The sequence below is a fragment of the Homo sapiens genome, chromosome 4, assembly GCF_000001405.40.
Source record: "Homo sapiens chromosome 4, GRCh38.p14 Primary Assembly".
NCBI classification, from domain to species: domain Eukaryota; kingdom Metazoa; phylum Chordata; class Mammalia; order Primates; family Hominidae; genus Homo; species Homo sapiens.
In genome coordinates, this window is record NC_000004.12 from 41,641,836 (window position 1) to 41,657,623 (window position 15,788).

General features: G+C 41.5%; 1 protein-coding gene across 54 annotated transcripts in view; it reads left to right on the forward strand.

The window, feature by feature from the left end:
- LIMCH1 (LIM and calponin homology domains 1) overlaps positions 1-15,788 on the forward strand; it is a 340,438-nt gene that overhangs the window by 282,229 nt on the left and 42,421 nt on the right. For all 54 annotated transcript variants that reach the window (NM_001289124.2, XM_011513642.2, XM_011513644.2 and 51 more), the window contains 4 exons: positions 2,665-2,791; positions 4,288-4,445; positions 4,650-5,058; positions 8,558-8,773. In NM_001289124.2, the coding sequence (NP_001276053.1) occupies positions 2,665-2,791; positions 4,288-4,445; positions 4,650-5,058; positions 8,558-8,773 (910 nt within the window). The remainder of the gene's footprint in view (positions 1-2,664; positions 2,792-4,287; positions 4,446-4,649; positions 5,059-8,557; positions 8,774-15,788) is intronic.

The window sequence follows — 15,788 nt, forward strand, 5'->3', positions numbered from 1 at the left end:
TCAACCATGTACTTCCTGGTACATGAAAGGGCAAACGAGTTTCTCCTTTTATTTAACTAACTGGCTTCTGGCCACATTTGGGCTGAGCTAGTTAGAGCTTCACAGTGGGAGTAGAGATGGGAACGCAGGACAGACAAAGGTAATTCTTAAGGTCTGCTCTCATTTTCTCCATGCCCATTGGGTGAGATAATCAAATCCCAGATCCTGGAGAAGGCTGCCATTTTCTTCTTGGGGTCCCAGAAGAAAACCTGGATCTATGGCCACCCATAGTGGCCTAAACCAAAATTCTGACCTGTAGATATTATAGATGGCAGAGTTGAATGAAGGGACCTCTTTTCTCTCCCATAATCTACAAACTACTTAGTGGGATGGTAAGAGGGTCCCAGCTCAGAGAGGTTTAAGTCTTCTAAGATCTTAGCAAAGATTATAAATCACCTTAAAAGATGAACTGACTAGATTGAATATTTTAAAAGTAAGATTTTTTTTTTTTAAACTGTGAGAGGAAGAATGGGACGAATTTTTGTGTCTTTCTGGAAGGCCTGCTTAAGTGAATTTTGATCCATGAAGTTTAAAAGCATGGGTTAGACTTTTCTACCTAATCCTGCAAATTTCTTAATCTTTCTTAGATACCATTAATCAATAGTCTAAAATAGATGAAAAATCACAGCCCTTCTCCTCTATCGAGGACTACAGTTTCTTTCTTTTTCTTTTCTTTCATTCTTTATTTTATTTTATTTTTTTGAGATAGAGTCTCGCTCTGTCACCCAGGCTGGAGTGCAGTGATGTAATCTCAGCTCACTGCAACTTCTGCCTCCCAGGTTCAAGCCATCCTCCTGCCTCAACCTCCCTAGTAGCTGGGACTATAGGCGTGTGCTAGCATGCCTAATTTTTTTTCTTTTTTCTTTTTTTTTTTTTGTATTTTTAGTAGAGAAGGGGTTTCACCATGTTGGCCAGGCTGGTCTTGAATTCCTGACCTCAAGTGATCTGCCCACCTTGGCCTCCCAGAGTGCTGGGATTACAGGCGTGAGCCACCACACCTGGCCCAGCTTATTTTTTCTAGAAGCCACAGCTGCTGAAATCAACATTCTCCACTGAATACATGGAGGCAGCATTATGCAATGGCTTGTCATATCCATGCTAATAGAAACCTCAGCTAAGAGTCCTTCTGTGCAGCCAGATTATTAGAATACTCTTGGGGAAGACAGGTTACAAGTACAGTTTTTCAGTTTAGTTCTCTTAGACTTAAATTGTCCAACATCTGGAGAGCAGAGAGAGGCACTCACACATTTATACACATTCCTTTTGAGTGGATTGAAGGGAAGGTGGGCAGCCATTGCTTTGGGGGTCATCTTCCAGACAGCTGCCTGCTAGGGAGCCCTTTGCATTCGGCGATGCTGCTGCTGTTCATTGTCTGGCCATGGGAGTAACAATTTTGGACATCATTGATGATGTCTGGAATTCTTTGGTGTCTAAGTGCATGGTAGTTTTTTTTTTCTTTGTGTTAGGCTGGTTTCAAAAATGGACTGTCACCATATTTTGTTGCTAGCACTTAACAGTGAGCTTTTAAGAGCCCTCTATGTCTTGAATTTTGGGCTCCATAGCCCACTTGTCCCAAAGTGAGTCATTTCTTTGAAAGAAAAATAAAAGGAGGAGGATTTTGCTTTGGTTTCTATTTCTGTTTTCATCTTGCTGCTTCAGCTTTTGCTGTAACAAAGGTTTATGTAAGCATCACAAAAAAGGCCCTATGGTCTTGCACAACATTTAATAAGCTCCTATAAAACATATAAATTATATGTATGCACAGTCTAAGAGTTTTTTAAAGACTGATTTCCCTTGCATTTTTCTTTTAAAAGAGATATTCAGAGTTATCCTGACAAAAATTAAATGACTGTGTGCATATTAGAATACAAAATATATACCTAATTTATGTGTTTTACTCCTTACTCTTGTTATAAAATGCCTTGTTTTCTTGATTCCAAGATGCCATCAACTGCACTATCAATTACAGCAGTTTTACAAGAAATAAAAAGAAATGATTACAATGAACATATACATCAGCCATCCATAGTTGTCAGATGCATCTAAAATTCAATAAAATAAAATAAGAAAAAGTGAGTGTCTTAAACTTAAGGCCAAATGATATTTTTTTGGAAATGGAGAAATTGCCTCCATTCACATAGGAAGCCTTTAAGCCAGCTTTCTACACAAAGAAGCATTTAACGTAATACAGTTTTACTTCATGGAACACCGCCCTCTTTCCCCACAAATTCTACCCAGGTTATACCTTTTAATTATCTTAATTTTATTTTTTAAATGCATTTCCAAGTGAGAGGAGCCTGGGGCTTCAAATACCATTTTTCTAGCTCTTCTTTAAACCTATTTTGGCACCTACATATAAAATGATATTGACCCGATTCAGTGACATCACTGAAGACAAAGACGGTCACATTTTGGCGTTTGCGGCAAAAGGAGGCGGTGGGGTGCCAGCACGCCCACCGCCCGCCCAGGGCCAGAACACACCGCCAGTCACGCGCTGTGCGCAGCCCGGGAAGGGGGCAGTTTTCCAAGCCCGGTAGCGCCCCCACGCGGCAGGACGCCCAGGCGCGCGGAGACGCGACGGGCGCTGATCGCGGTCCCTCTTGTGTTCGCTCTCTCCACACTCAGGAGCACCAGCATGTTTGACATGCGGTGTGAGGAGGAGGCCGCGGTGCAGCCGCACAGCAGGGCCCGCCAGGAGCAGCTGCAGCTGATAAATAACCAGCTGAGGGAAGAGGACGACAAATGGCAAGATGTGAGTTGTGGCCAAGGCGCGCGGGCAGCGGGGAGGCTTCTGGCAGCAGAAAATCCAGCCGGGTGGGTAGACGTGGACTTGAAAGCCATGCGGGGAAAGGGAGCCCCTAGAGGGTTTCAAAAGGTGACACGGTAAATGTGGGACTCAAAGGAAGGTGAGTAGCAGCGTGAAGGTATGGAGTGATGGCCCAGACATGTAATCAGCAAACACCCTGGCCAGAAGCTTGGTCACAAAAGAGGGGAGGGGAGGCAGGAAACTGGGATGGGTTGTAGAATTGAGGCTGCACTATCTTCTGAGGTTATATATTTCAAATTGATCATGATGATGATGGTAGTAACGATAACAATGACCAACATCAAATGTGTACCAGTACCAGGCATTGTTCTAAGTACTTTGCATGCATTCATTTAATCCTCTTAGTAACTCAATGAACTAGCAACTCTTATTGTCCTCGATTCCACAGACGAATCCCAGCACAGCTGTCACTTGCTGAACGTCACATAGCTAGCGAGTGGGGGAGCCAGGATTAGAACCAGGGAAGGAAGGCTAAAGAGGCTGATGAGGGCTTTGAGATTGTGTGCTGAGAGCCAAAGCGGGGAGAGAGGAGGGAGAGTGGATTATTTCATTTAATTCTCACAAAGCACTCTGGAGGTAGCTATTGCAAACTTGACTCCACCTTTAGTTTAAAAAGTTAACTTCTCCAAAGTTCATAAAATATAGTAACAATTATGTCTAAAGTATCTTGAGCACTTACTATGTGCCTGGCACCTTACGTCTATTTTCACATTTAACCCTGCAAGCTTGTAAGAATAGGTGCTATTATCATCATTTTAGAGAGGAGGAAATGGAGGCACAGGGAGACTAAGAAACATGCCTGAGATTCCAAAGCATGGAAAAGACAGAGCTGGGATTATTTCCCACAGCTGCAACCCCAACCATCTGCCTCCAGAATCCTCACTCTTCATCATTATGCTATAACTACCTGTAGGATTGTGGTGAGGTTGTTGTAAGGATCAGATGAATTAATACATATAGAATCACCAGATCTAAAGACTCCAAAACAGTTTTTTTTCTGCCTTGACTGCCTTCCATGTGGAAACTGTAAATGAATCCCTACTATTCTATTGTCAGCAAATCTGTTCACAATGCAGAGGTTATAAATAGGAAGGAATGAAGTTTCTTACAGTTACCTTGTGAGGCAATTCTCTGAAATTTGGCAACTGACATGAAATGTGATTGCATATTTCACACTGCCATATTTAAATAAATGTGCAGCCCTGCTATGGATACTGTAGATAATATCTGGATGTTTCTGCCTTTGAGGCATTCCAGTTCCAACCAGACTTACATTGGATTGTGTGGGAATGCACACGATGTTATAGTGCCTGGGCCCATAGTCAGTTCTCTAAAGAGTAGAAATGACTAAACTCTGAAGAATAGAAATGGAATTATGCACAAGTCTGAAGAAGAATATTATATCTTTCTTTCCCTGCCAGGACCTGGCTCGTTGGAAGAGTCGTAGAAGAAGTGTTTCTCAGGACTTAATCAAGAAAGAGGAAGAAAGGAAAAAAATGGAGAAGTTACTGGCTGGAGAAGATGGGACAAGTGAACGAAGGAAAAGCATCAAAACCTACAGAGAAATTGTTCAAGAAAAGTGAGTTCTTTCTGTTGTCGTTTTTAATGTACAATATTATCTAGGTGTTTTTTTTTTCTAAAAATTATTGGCTGTCACAAAGGTTCTGATAGTAACATTTTATATTCCCTGTACTATCTCTTCAGTGCTACCTTCGTTTCTACCAAGGTCTTCTTTGCAATTTTCATTAGTTGACTTTGTTATTGCTTCTCCCATGTCCTTTAGAGAGCGGAGAGAGAGAGAGCTGCATGAAGCATATAAGAACGCTCGGTCCCAGGAGGAGGCAGAGGGGATCCTTCAACAGTACATTGAGAGGTTCACCATCAGTGAGGCTGTTCTCGAACGCTTGGAGATGCCAAAAATTCTGGAAAGAAGCCATTCAACAGAGCCAAATTTATCCTCCTTCCTGAATGACCCCAATCCCATGAAATACCTGCGGCAACAGTCACTGCCTCCACCCAAATTCACTGCCACTGTTGAAACCACCATTGCTCGTGCCAGTGTTCTGGATACCAGCATGTCAGCAGGCAGTGGGTCTCCAAGCAAAACTGTCACTCCCAAAGCAGTGCCTATGCTGACACCCAAGCCTTACTCCCAGCCCAAAAATTCTCAAGATGTTCTGAAGACCTTTAAGGTAGGACAAGTTCCTTAAGAGTAGAACCAAAGCTGAACTCCAGGGAGTGGATGGAAAGAAGCATCATGACTCAAGAAAATGTCATTCTTTTTACCATACAAAAGAAAAATGTGTTGACATTTACAGCTGTGAAAGTCATAGGTCTCTGGAGATTTGGTTTGTAAATGCTTCAGGGACAGCTGTTTCCCTCAATTGCTGTTGTTAATACAGATGGACTCCTATAAGACTGATAGTGGAGTCGTCTCCATGAGCAAGGTCTATTTTCTAGTTTGATATAATGGCATGATTTCTCTGTACTAGTGGTAAAAACCCTAATTTAGTAATACCCTAGTATTTCTAGGTATCAGGAGGTATGGCAGACTCCTCAAAACAAAATTTTATTTGCTTTTGGTTCAAATAGAAGTATATGCAGCTACCTCTCTTTTAGGAAGAAATTGGCATTCAGCATCCATTTGACATTGTAGCATCCAAAAAGATTTTACAATTGATAAAAATACAAGGAACACATGGGAACATGGGACATACTTGGTCCTCAAATGAGACAGGTTTTTTAAACAAGTGGAAAGAAACTGGGTTGTTTTGCTAATGAGTGTGTAAAATAGTGTTCCAGACTGAAGAACTTGTGGAAACCAAACATCTTTTCGCTTCCTCAAATTCAAGTACTTTCTCTTATATCAGGAGGAAGCACTCATCCTTTGTCTTAAGTTCTTTTGACTTGTAAAGAAAAATCAGTTCCCCTTGTCCTTGCACTCAATGAGTTTGTAATAAACAGAGGTGGAATGCATCACTTGGAGATGTGACCATTAGATAGAAAAGTTTTCGTAACTGATTGAGCAGTGTGATGCCACGTAGCTTCCTTGCTGTATTTCAAAGAGAACAAAACCACACTTTCTGACTTTTGCTGAAATAACTCTGAATGTATCTCAAAAATCTCTATCTTAGGCTTTGATAGAACAAAAATGTCCAGACTGTCTCATCTGGATCACATTGAGCTGTTTGTCCCCTTATAAGGGCAGGGGCCATGTCTCTGTCATTCATGGCTTCATCCTGAGAGCCTGGCACAGGTGCCCAGGACAGAGTAGGCACTCAGCAAGTGCTCCTTAAATAAATAAGTGAATTTTTCCTGAGAAGATGAGCTACTAATCATATGGACTCACACACACACAGATAGACACACACATGCTCATGTGTGCTCAGTGGTCCACCTAAGTGTTTCAGAAGCTTTCCTTCACCTAGGGCCTATGATAATGAATGGCTATGGTATTTCCTGAAGGAAGATTCTATGTTGAGGTGGCCCAGAATAGGATAGAGAATACATTTATTTAACTGGATTTCCAAGGCATCTGACCAAACATTCTAGATGTCCACTTTCCCTCCTTTATCTAAATAGTGCAAAGTGATCGTTTAAACAGAAGGATTAGCATAAATGATTTTATGGCAGAACTTCAGCTCTGAGAAAACTCTGTTCTTCACCATGGCGGCAAAGTGGAGCAAGGTGGTATGGCGGCCTCAGGAAGCACTTCCATGGAGGGGGTTATTAGAGAATTTGAGCAGAGGCCCTCTTAGAGCTGGAGATTACTCCTCATCACTCACTAGTGGGGGTCCCCTGCCTCATTGTAGGCCTCACTGGCTAGTATTTCTACTGATGGCCTACAGTTCCATTACTGAGTGCATGGACAGCAACTTTGGTCAAAGGTCAAAGTAACATGCAAATCAGACCGTTGTTACCAGCTAATAATGCCAGGACAGAAGCTAAGGGGTAGGGGTGTGTGTGTGTGTGTGTGTGTGTGTGTGTGTGTGTGTGTGTCTTCTTGGAGGGCAGGGCAGGGAATACAGGCCCCGTTGTTTTTCCAGTACAACAGAATTAAGAATAAAGGAAGATCAAGAGAAATAGTTTAAGGCAGTGTTTTTCAAACTGAAAGTTACCACCCGTTGCTAGGTTATAAAATCAGTTTAGTGGTTTGAAGCCAATATAAAAAAAAAAGAACTAGAATAGAATATAATAAAAAAACATAGTGTGTCACACAATGAAGGCAAAATTGCTTGGGGCAACTTCTGTTTCAGTTATATTTATGTGTGTGTGTGTGTGCTGAGTTGTGATTTAAATTTCTTTTTATGGGTAACAAATAATAGAGTAAAAAGACCAGTGGCTTAAGGTAAATAAACTATAACTAATATCCAGCCTTCCATTATTTCTTTTAAAAGATTTTAAAAGGCCTAATGAGGCTGGGCGAGGTGGCTCACACCTGTAATGCCAGCACTTTGGGAGGCCGAGGCAGGCAGATCACTTGAGACCAGGAGTTCGAGACCAGTCTGGACAACATGATGAAACCCTGTCTCTACTAAAAATACAAAAATTAACCAGCCATGTTGGCATACGCCTGTAATCCCATCTACTTGGGAGGCTGAGGCATGAGAATTGCTTGAACCAGGAAGGTGGAGGCTGCAGTGAGCTGAGATTACACCACTCCACTCCAGCCTGGGTGACAGAGTGAGACCCCGTCTCAAAAAATAAATAAATACATAAATAAGAGGCCTAATGATAATAATGGCTAATAGTTAAGCACTTAAAATGTGTCAGGTACTGTTCTAAATTCTGTACATTTGATAATCCATAAAATCTCCATAACAGCACTATGAGGAAGATACTGTTACTTTAAATTTTGCATCAGAGCACAGAGAATAGGAAACCTGTTGAAGATTCCATGCCTGTTAAATGGTAGAGCCAGGTTTCAATCAGGTCACCTAACTGCACAGCTCCCTCTCAAAACCACTCTACTTTCTGCCTCAAATTTCAAGACCGAGATTTCCAGATGCCTTTCAGTAAGCCAGGCTAACCGCCCTCTCTGGTTTCCCTTTCTTGCTCCAACTGCCTCCCCTCGATGTGAGTGCAAAACAAAAATATTTTAATGTGCATGGTCTTTTTTTCTTTAAAAAATGGAGGTTATAAAAGTAACTAGAAATAGAGATTCACTGTAACAGAGCATAGTCTCAGATCCCTTGCCCTCTGCCTTAGCTTCAAAAAAAGTATCTGTTTCCCCTGCTACCACCATGGGATAAGCTGTAAAATATTCCTGATCTGTGGTAAGTTCCGCCTCATTTATATGCTATCCAGAAAAACAGTCAAGGTTGTGGAATAGCAATCAGAACTGAAGTGAAACAGTATTGGAACCCCAATATGTGGCATGTATTTGTACTTAAGATTCTTCGGTTTTCTGTACTTTAAAATAAAAGCAGACCATAAATGAGGTGAACATGAAATGGAATCTATAGTGAAGTGGCCCAAGCAGGCCAACTACCTTTTAAGGAGGCCCTCAAAGATAGCATTTATAGAAGCCCTAACTCATAGATCCCATCAGAACATTTAAGAGACCTCTTCCTTCATTGGACTCTGGTTATTAAATGATGATCTTTTGAGGTAATTCTGAACGTGTCGTTTTGTTACAGTCTTTGATTGGGGTATATATAGCATGTTTTTTGTTCATTCTGGCTTTTATAGGTAGACGGGAAAGTCAGTGTGAATGGAGAGACGGTTCATAGAGAGGAGGAGAAGGAAAGAGAGTGTCCCACGGTGGCACCTGCCCACTCCTTAACCAAATCCCAGATGTTTGAAGGTGTGGCCAGAGTGCACGGGTCTCCACTGGAGCTGAAACAAGACAACGGTAGCATCGAGATCAACATAAAGAAGCCAAACTCTGTTCCCCAAGAGCTCGCAGTAAGAACCAAACATTTCCCCGCCTCCCTTTGGGATAATTCCATGGTGAAAGAATCTGTTTTTAAAAATAAGTAGGTCATGATAATGACCATTTCTTTCTATGTTGGCGTATTAGTTTGCTAGGGCTGCTGTAAGTACCACAAACTCAGTGGCTTAAACAACAGAAACTGTCTCACAGTCCTGGTAGCTAGAAGTCCAAAACCAAGGTGTTGGCAGGGTTGGCTCCCTCCATTGGTCATGAGAGAGCATCTGTTCCAGGTCTCTCTCCTAGCCTCTGGTGGCTGCTGGCAATCTTGATGTTCCTGGGCTTATGGATGTGTCATCCCCCTCTCTGCCTTTGTCTTCACTGGTGTTCTCCCTGTGGATGTGTCTGTATTCAGATTTCCCTATTTTATTTTATTTTATTTTATTTTTCGAGATGGAAATTCGCTCTTTTTGCCTAGGCTGGAGTGTAATGGTGCGATCTTGGCTCACTGCAACCTCTGCCTCCAGGCTTCAAGCAATTCTCCTGCCTCATCCTCCCAAGTAACTGGGACTACAGGCATGCACAAGTGCACCCAGCTAATTTTGTATTTTTAGTAGAGACAGGTTTCACCATGTTGGCCAGGCTGGTCTTGAGCTCCTGACCTCAAGTGATCCACCCACCTCAGCCTCCCAAAAGTGCTGGGATTACAGGCATGAGCTACCACACCCAGCCTAATTTCCCCTTTTTAGAAGAACACCAGTCATACTGAGTAGGTCCACCCTTCTCCCTTGTGACCTCATCTTAACTAATCACATCTGCAGCAGCCCTATTTCCAAAGGTCACTTTCTGAGTAGTAAGGGTTAGGACTTCAATAATATGAATTTTGGGAGACACAATTCAACCTGTATCATTGGTATAATGGAAGGTATTACAATTTATGAGCCAGAAATTACTTTTTCTTGTCTCACTATTGGTGTCCAGTGTTATAGAAGAATAAGTAAATCTTTAAAATACCTTTTCCCCCCCTGTTTATTTAGGACCTCATTAGACTTGTTAATGCCATTTGAAAATAACTGGTGCTATCAGAATCTAGCTTTCCATCCCCGGCGATGTATATATAAAAGGGCCTTTTTCTTATTAGTTAAAGAAACAAAAATTCATTTAAAAGCTGAAAGTAATGTAAAGCATCAGAGTACTATTGAATGGCAAAGCTAAAAAATGTATGCTAATTCAGGTACTGCAGAAAAGTGAACTCAAAATAACATGATATTTGTTTCTTTGGAGTAGAAGACATCATTGGGAAAATTGCACTTTCTTCCATCTCTCACCAGAAAGACTCATGCTGGTTTCACTAATCTAACCGAAACTGTCACTACACAGATGCAGCCCTGCTTTCGGGGTACGGGCTGGACTCTGTTCAACCTCATTTGTACTCACCAGAGGCTGAGTTTCTGCTGTTCTAATTTATAGCATTTGGGTTTATATTATAGTTACAAGAAGGGAAAAACTATCAAGATATTTTCCCCCAGGACCTAGAAAGGTTTGGTGTGAAAGGAAACTTCTTCCGGCACCAAGGGAGCTGAGCGTTGTGTGACCCAGCTAGCTAAAACCCACCTAGAAGGCTGGATATCATTATTTTTTTCCTTTATGATTAGTCTTTTGAAGACTAAAATTATTTTTTTTTTCAGAGGAGTTGAGAAGATATAATTCTTCCACGCAGTACCCAAGTGCTCTGTGAAAGAGATTCAAATGGGAGTAGACCAAAATCATTTTCTCACCATGGTAACACGTTTCCTAGTCTCTAGGAGCAGAGTTTTGTGATCCAGGCCACTGCGGAGTCTCTCCTGAACTTGGACTTCCTGGACTTCCATTTTACTTGTCATTTGCATACGTCTTACCTCTGCTAGAGATTTCTTGCAGATGATCACGAGACAGAATATTGAGTTCTGCTAGCAGTGTGAGAACTTAACTGATAGAGTAAACATTAACTTATGCTGTTAAAATTAAACTAGAAGACCCCAAATTAATTAGACATAGGGGTGGCATTGCTTTTCAGGGACAATTAATAATTCTGTTCTTATTTCTCTTTTGCCATTTTTCATGATGATCGTTTTCTAAATTCCCTTCATTAAAAAGATTTCACATTGATTACATATCCCCCAAAGTAACTTGTTTTAAGAGAAGCAAAATTACACGATCTGAAAGAAACTATGCTATTTCAAAAGTTTATACATGATCACATGGAGAAGGATGGCCTTCAGGACTTTCTTCCTAGAAACCAGCCTGATCCTGGTTGCCTAAGGATGCAGGTCTAAACTCAGAAAAGCCTGGGAGTCTTTTCCTTTTGTGTATTTCTTCCTTGGAGAAATTGCCTAGTTCAGAGTAATTTCTAGGTCAGTGAACCCTAATGTTTCTGAACAGGTAGTAGTATTTATGGACCCTGTCTATAGTACTTTAGGCTTTTGAATCAACTATGGCAGGGGGTATTGCATTACTTTCTGTGTGGGAAAATCTCTGTATATATCTGTCAGACTATAAGCTAAGTTGTTAGCTGTACTACATAGGACTGTGGCTCATTACTCAAATACTCATCATACTCACATGCAACTTAGGATACCACAAGTTTTCCATTCAGAGTGTGTTATCCCAAGAGTCATTTTAAAAGAATCACTTCTCCAGTAAACCTACTCCCCATTTTACTTCTTTGTGCATGATTCCAAGCAAAGCATTTCTTGACTGTGTTACAGCCGGTATACTCCTGTTAAAAAAAAAAAAAAAGGAATTAATTGGTCATGGCAAAATATGGTGACCAGCTTAGAACAGGAGGCTGCACTTCAGGGCCTCCCAGAGACTGACACCAGCTTGGACTTCATTTTCTGTTTCTAATTCACTTGCCTGATTCTGTGGGGCTGTCAAAAGATTAGTGTTCTTCTTTTTAAATAGTGTCTTTCTTCCAAAAACTGCATTCCCAACAGATACACTCTCTACAGAGGAGTAGCTTCACCCACCACTAAAATGTCACAATTCCTTTAGGGTGAGCTAGAACTGTTCAAAGGGCACAGCAGCAGCAGTAGGCAGGAGCATGAATTCAGGAATGGAGGGAGAACAACAGAGAAGGGCGGCCCGAGACCTGCTGGGGGAAGGGATTGCGTGTGGAGCGTCAGCATCTGGGCCCGGGACGGGCACTATGGATGACATCATATCATCTCTTTGGTTTCCTTCTACCTCATCTTTCTCATTTGAAACTCTTGGGACTGTCACTCTCTTACTTTAGAACTAGGTCCTAAATTAAGTTAGGAATTTTAAAAAATGCTTTGTCTGTACCTCCTCATGCCAGATAATTCCCAGTCATCTTCAGTTGAATCACCTTTATGGTAATAAGATTGTGATAGCAGTTACCTTGCAGATGGGCACGTGTTAATTGGTAAATATGAATTAAGGACCTACCCTATTACCTGTTTTTTGAAATAGAAGAATAAACTTCTAAACTTGGTAGGAAAAAAATGTTCATAAAGCCACTAGAAAAGTATATAGAACAACGTAGAATTAAATACAGAGGGACTCATGACTTAGGATGGTTCACCTTACCATTTTTCAATCCTATGATTGTGCAAAGGCAATATATGTTAAATAGCAACTGTGCTTCGAATTTTGAATTTTGATCTTTTCCTGGGCTAGTAATATGCAGTAGGACACTCTCATGATGCTGGGCATGGTTGTGAGTGAGCCGCAGCTCCCAGTCAGCCACGAGATCACGAGGGTAAACAACCGATACTCTATAGTGCACTGAATCTCCAGATGATTTTGCCCAACCGCGAATGTAAGCGTTCTGAGCATGTTTAAGGTAGGTTAGGCTAAACTATGATGTTTGGTAAGTTGGGTGTATTCAGTACATCTTTGACTTAACGATGTTTTCAATTTACAATGGGTTTATCAGAATGTAACCTTGTAAGTCATGGAACGTCTGTACTAGATGGTGGAGTAAGAAAACCAGAGGAATATACGATTGCAAAGAACAGGCAAGATCTTCATAGGCTGAGTTTAGTCTGGGAAGGTTTTGTGTGGGATGTGGATTTTGAAACTTGACAGTAAGTGTGGGATTTGTGTTGAAGTGGAGGAGGGGCTATTCTACACACCAGAAAGGGCAGAATCAAAGGCATGGACAATGGTGAGGAGCCCACCAGAGGACCCCAAGAAGGATAAGAGGTGATGAGGGTGCTGTATATTCTAGGCAGAGGGATCAGGTCCTCCTGTGGCCACCCAATCCCTTTGCCCCCAATTATCCCTGAGATATTTCAGGGGTTTTGTTCATTTCAGCATCTCTGTTAAAGGCCCAGTGGAAACCTCACACTTTTTTTTCATTTAAAAATACTGGCTTCTGTAAGAAAATCATGTTATAGCACACAAGCAGACTCCTAGAATATAGGACTGTAAAAGAATTTAGAAGGTCTTCTAATCTGAGGGCTAATATATCCTATGTTTAGTGGCCTACAGAAAGATATTTTTATGTATGTCTCCCCCAAAGCTATTCCAGTGTTGTCTTGATTCACTGTCAGTTATATTTGTATCTGAAGCTCTTCTTTCCTCAATGGCACCAAAATGACCCTTTTCGAAAATAACCAAAAAATACTTCATACACTATATCAAAGGTCAGACTCCACCTGAACGTCAAACTGTCTAAGCCTCAATTTATATTTAAAAAGAAGTATAATAATAGCATAGACATCAGATGGTTATTGTGAGAATTCATGTCTGTAGAGCACTTAGCATACTGTCAGGGTGACTCAGAGACCACAGGTGCCACTCAGCTATCTTTAATATTGTCATGCAACAAGTGGGAGTAAGGAAGTTATAATATTTAATACATTTTTCAGAGGCCCAAAAAGGCAATCAGTATGAAGTTTTTTGGATTAAAGTAAGTTGGTCAAAATTAGCATCTTGAACAGACGTGAATTTCATACAAATGAGATGAATTGCTTTTAATCTTCTAACTCAACTTGTTGTTCCAATTGTAATTCTCTAAAAAACATACAGATGTGGACAGCTTTTTCTAGAAGACAGTTGTCCTTGCAGACACTTACATGATTCTTCCTGCAGCTCTTTTTTTTTTCGTCTTTCCCCCCACCTTTTGTAGAGAATGGGGTCTCACTATATCACCCAAGCAGGTCTCTAGCAATTCTCCGGGGCTCAAGGGATACTCTCACCTCTTCCTCCCTAAGTGCTGGGATTATAGGCATGAGCCACCATGCCTGGCCCTTCCTGCAGCTCTTTTTGCCTCTCCTTTTGTTCCCTCCTTTCCAGTTCTGGCCCCCTCCTGCCACCTAAACTCCTAAGACTCCCACCCATCGACCCCTGTGTCACTCCTTTCCATGCCTGTTCATCAGATCTCTCTCACCAGCTCATCTCAAGTGACGTAGCCCATGCTCTGCCTCCCAGTCAGCACCATCCCATCAGGTTCGTGGCAATTTTCCCTCATTGAGCAAGGGCCAAACTCACCTATTGGGTATCTAAACTACTTCATCTGCTTTTCTCAAACTGAGTCACAAGGTAGGTCTGTTTTTCCCATTTTGAAAAAGCTCTAGGTCTTCCTCTTGAAAATTCAGTACTTATGTTTTCTGATCCAGGAAAACAGACAATCGGATCTTTCTTGAAACATTGCATTTTGCAGTGAGAGCAGGGTGAAGGCATTTGAGTAGGTGCCGTTTTTCTTATAACTGAGACCAACTGCAAATTCCTTTTAGATGGCAAATGTCAATAAACATTTCTTGAGAAACTGGTTTTCTCCATCTAGAAGTAGTTGTAAGATTGCTAGATTTAATGATTTTTAAAAGTCATTAAAGATATTTAGATAAAGATAAAGATGCATTTACAGATTTCGAGAAAGCATACATCAGGGAAAATAAAAAATTAACCTGGCCTATCTATCCAGTTACCTGGGTCAAAACCTCATTTTTTTTTAATTTGAAAAGTTTAGTACAAAAAAAAGTTTAAGACATGGAGAGCCTGATTCTCCATATAGATTCCCTGTCTTCCAGTGGCAGTAGATATTTGGAGGTATAAAAGTGAAAAGAGAAACCCATGCACAGCATATGTGGCACCTGGGTCTGGCACCGCAGTGCCAGAGCATAAATAGACTGATTTTCCAGGCTTGTGTCCAGATAAGTTGTCCAAGACGAGAGCCAGGAAATCGCTCAGAGTCACAGAACCGTTGCTCGGGAAAGGACGTTGGACATCACTTGTTCCAACCCATAGAGGTTAAATGATCAGTCCGAGCTCACCAGCAACTCCATGTGAGAAACAGGCCCAGCACCCAGACCCTCAGTCTCAGGAGGGTGCTTGCCCTCCTGCTTCACATGTCTAGTACATCTTCCAATGTCGTTCTCTGGGCCAGTCCACCACCAAGATTCTAGTTAAAATGAGCAGCCAGATGCCAGGTAGGCTTTGGGCTAGACCATGTCTCTCTCAAGCCAGGAAACTGCCACCTCCCACCTGAGGCCCCAGGGCTGAGTCTGGCACCCGGGCAGTTTGGATCGCATTCTCAGTTAAGGGGAAGCCAGCTCCTGGCTGAGTCCCATGCAACCTTTCTGTGCTCTCATTCATTCACGTCCAGGGATCTGTTTTTATTTACTTGTTTTCATTCTTGAGAAAGTGTTACCAGTTGGAGAAGGGAAGGGCTCTCCTCTGTTGAGCTGTAACCAAAGAAAAATACAGGTCAGAAAACACATTTTTCCATCAAGGCGGGTTTGTTTGAAGCAAACCGCTGAGTGTATCCCTGCCAACTTTGAACTCATTTCCTTCGAAGTAATGATGTGAGTACAAAAGTAATAAGCCTCCAGGATGGAGTATCCAGACATAAGTTAATTAACCTGGCTTTGGGGATTTCCCTTGATTACAGATAGCCTATATACATTGCAGAATACAGAAAACTGGAGAAAACATCGACTACCTATTACTCAGCCACTCTGAAATTAATGCTAACATTTTTAGAAAATGTATATCCTTCTTTTTCTCAGTGTGTATAAAGTATTTTTAAGTGGGTTCCTGTTATTC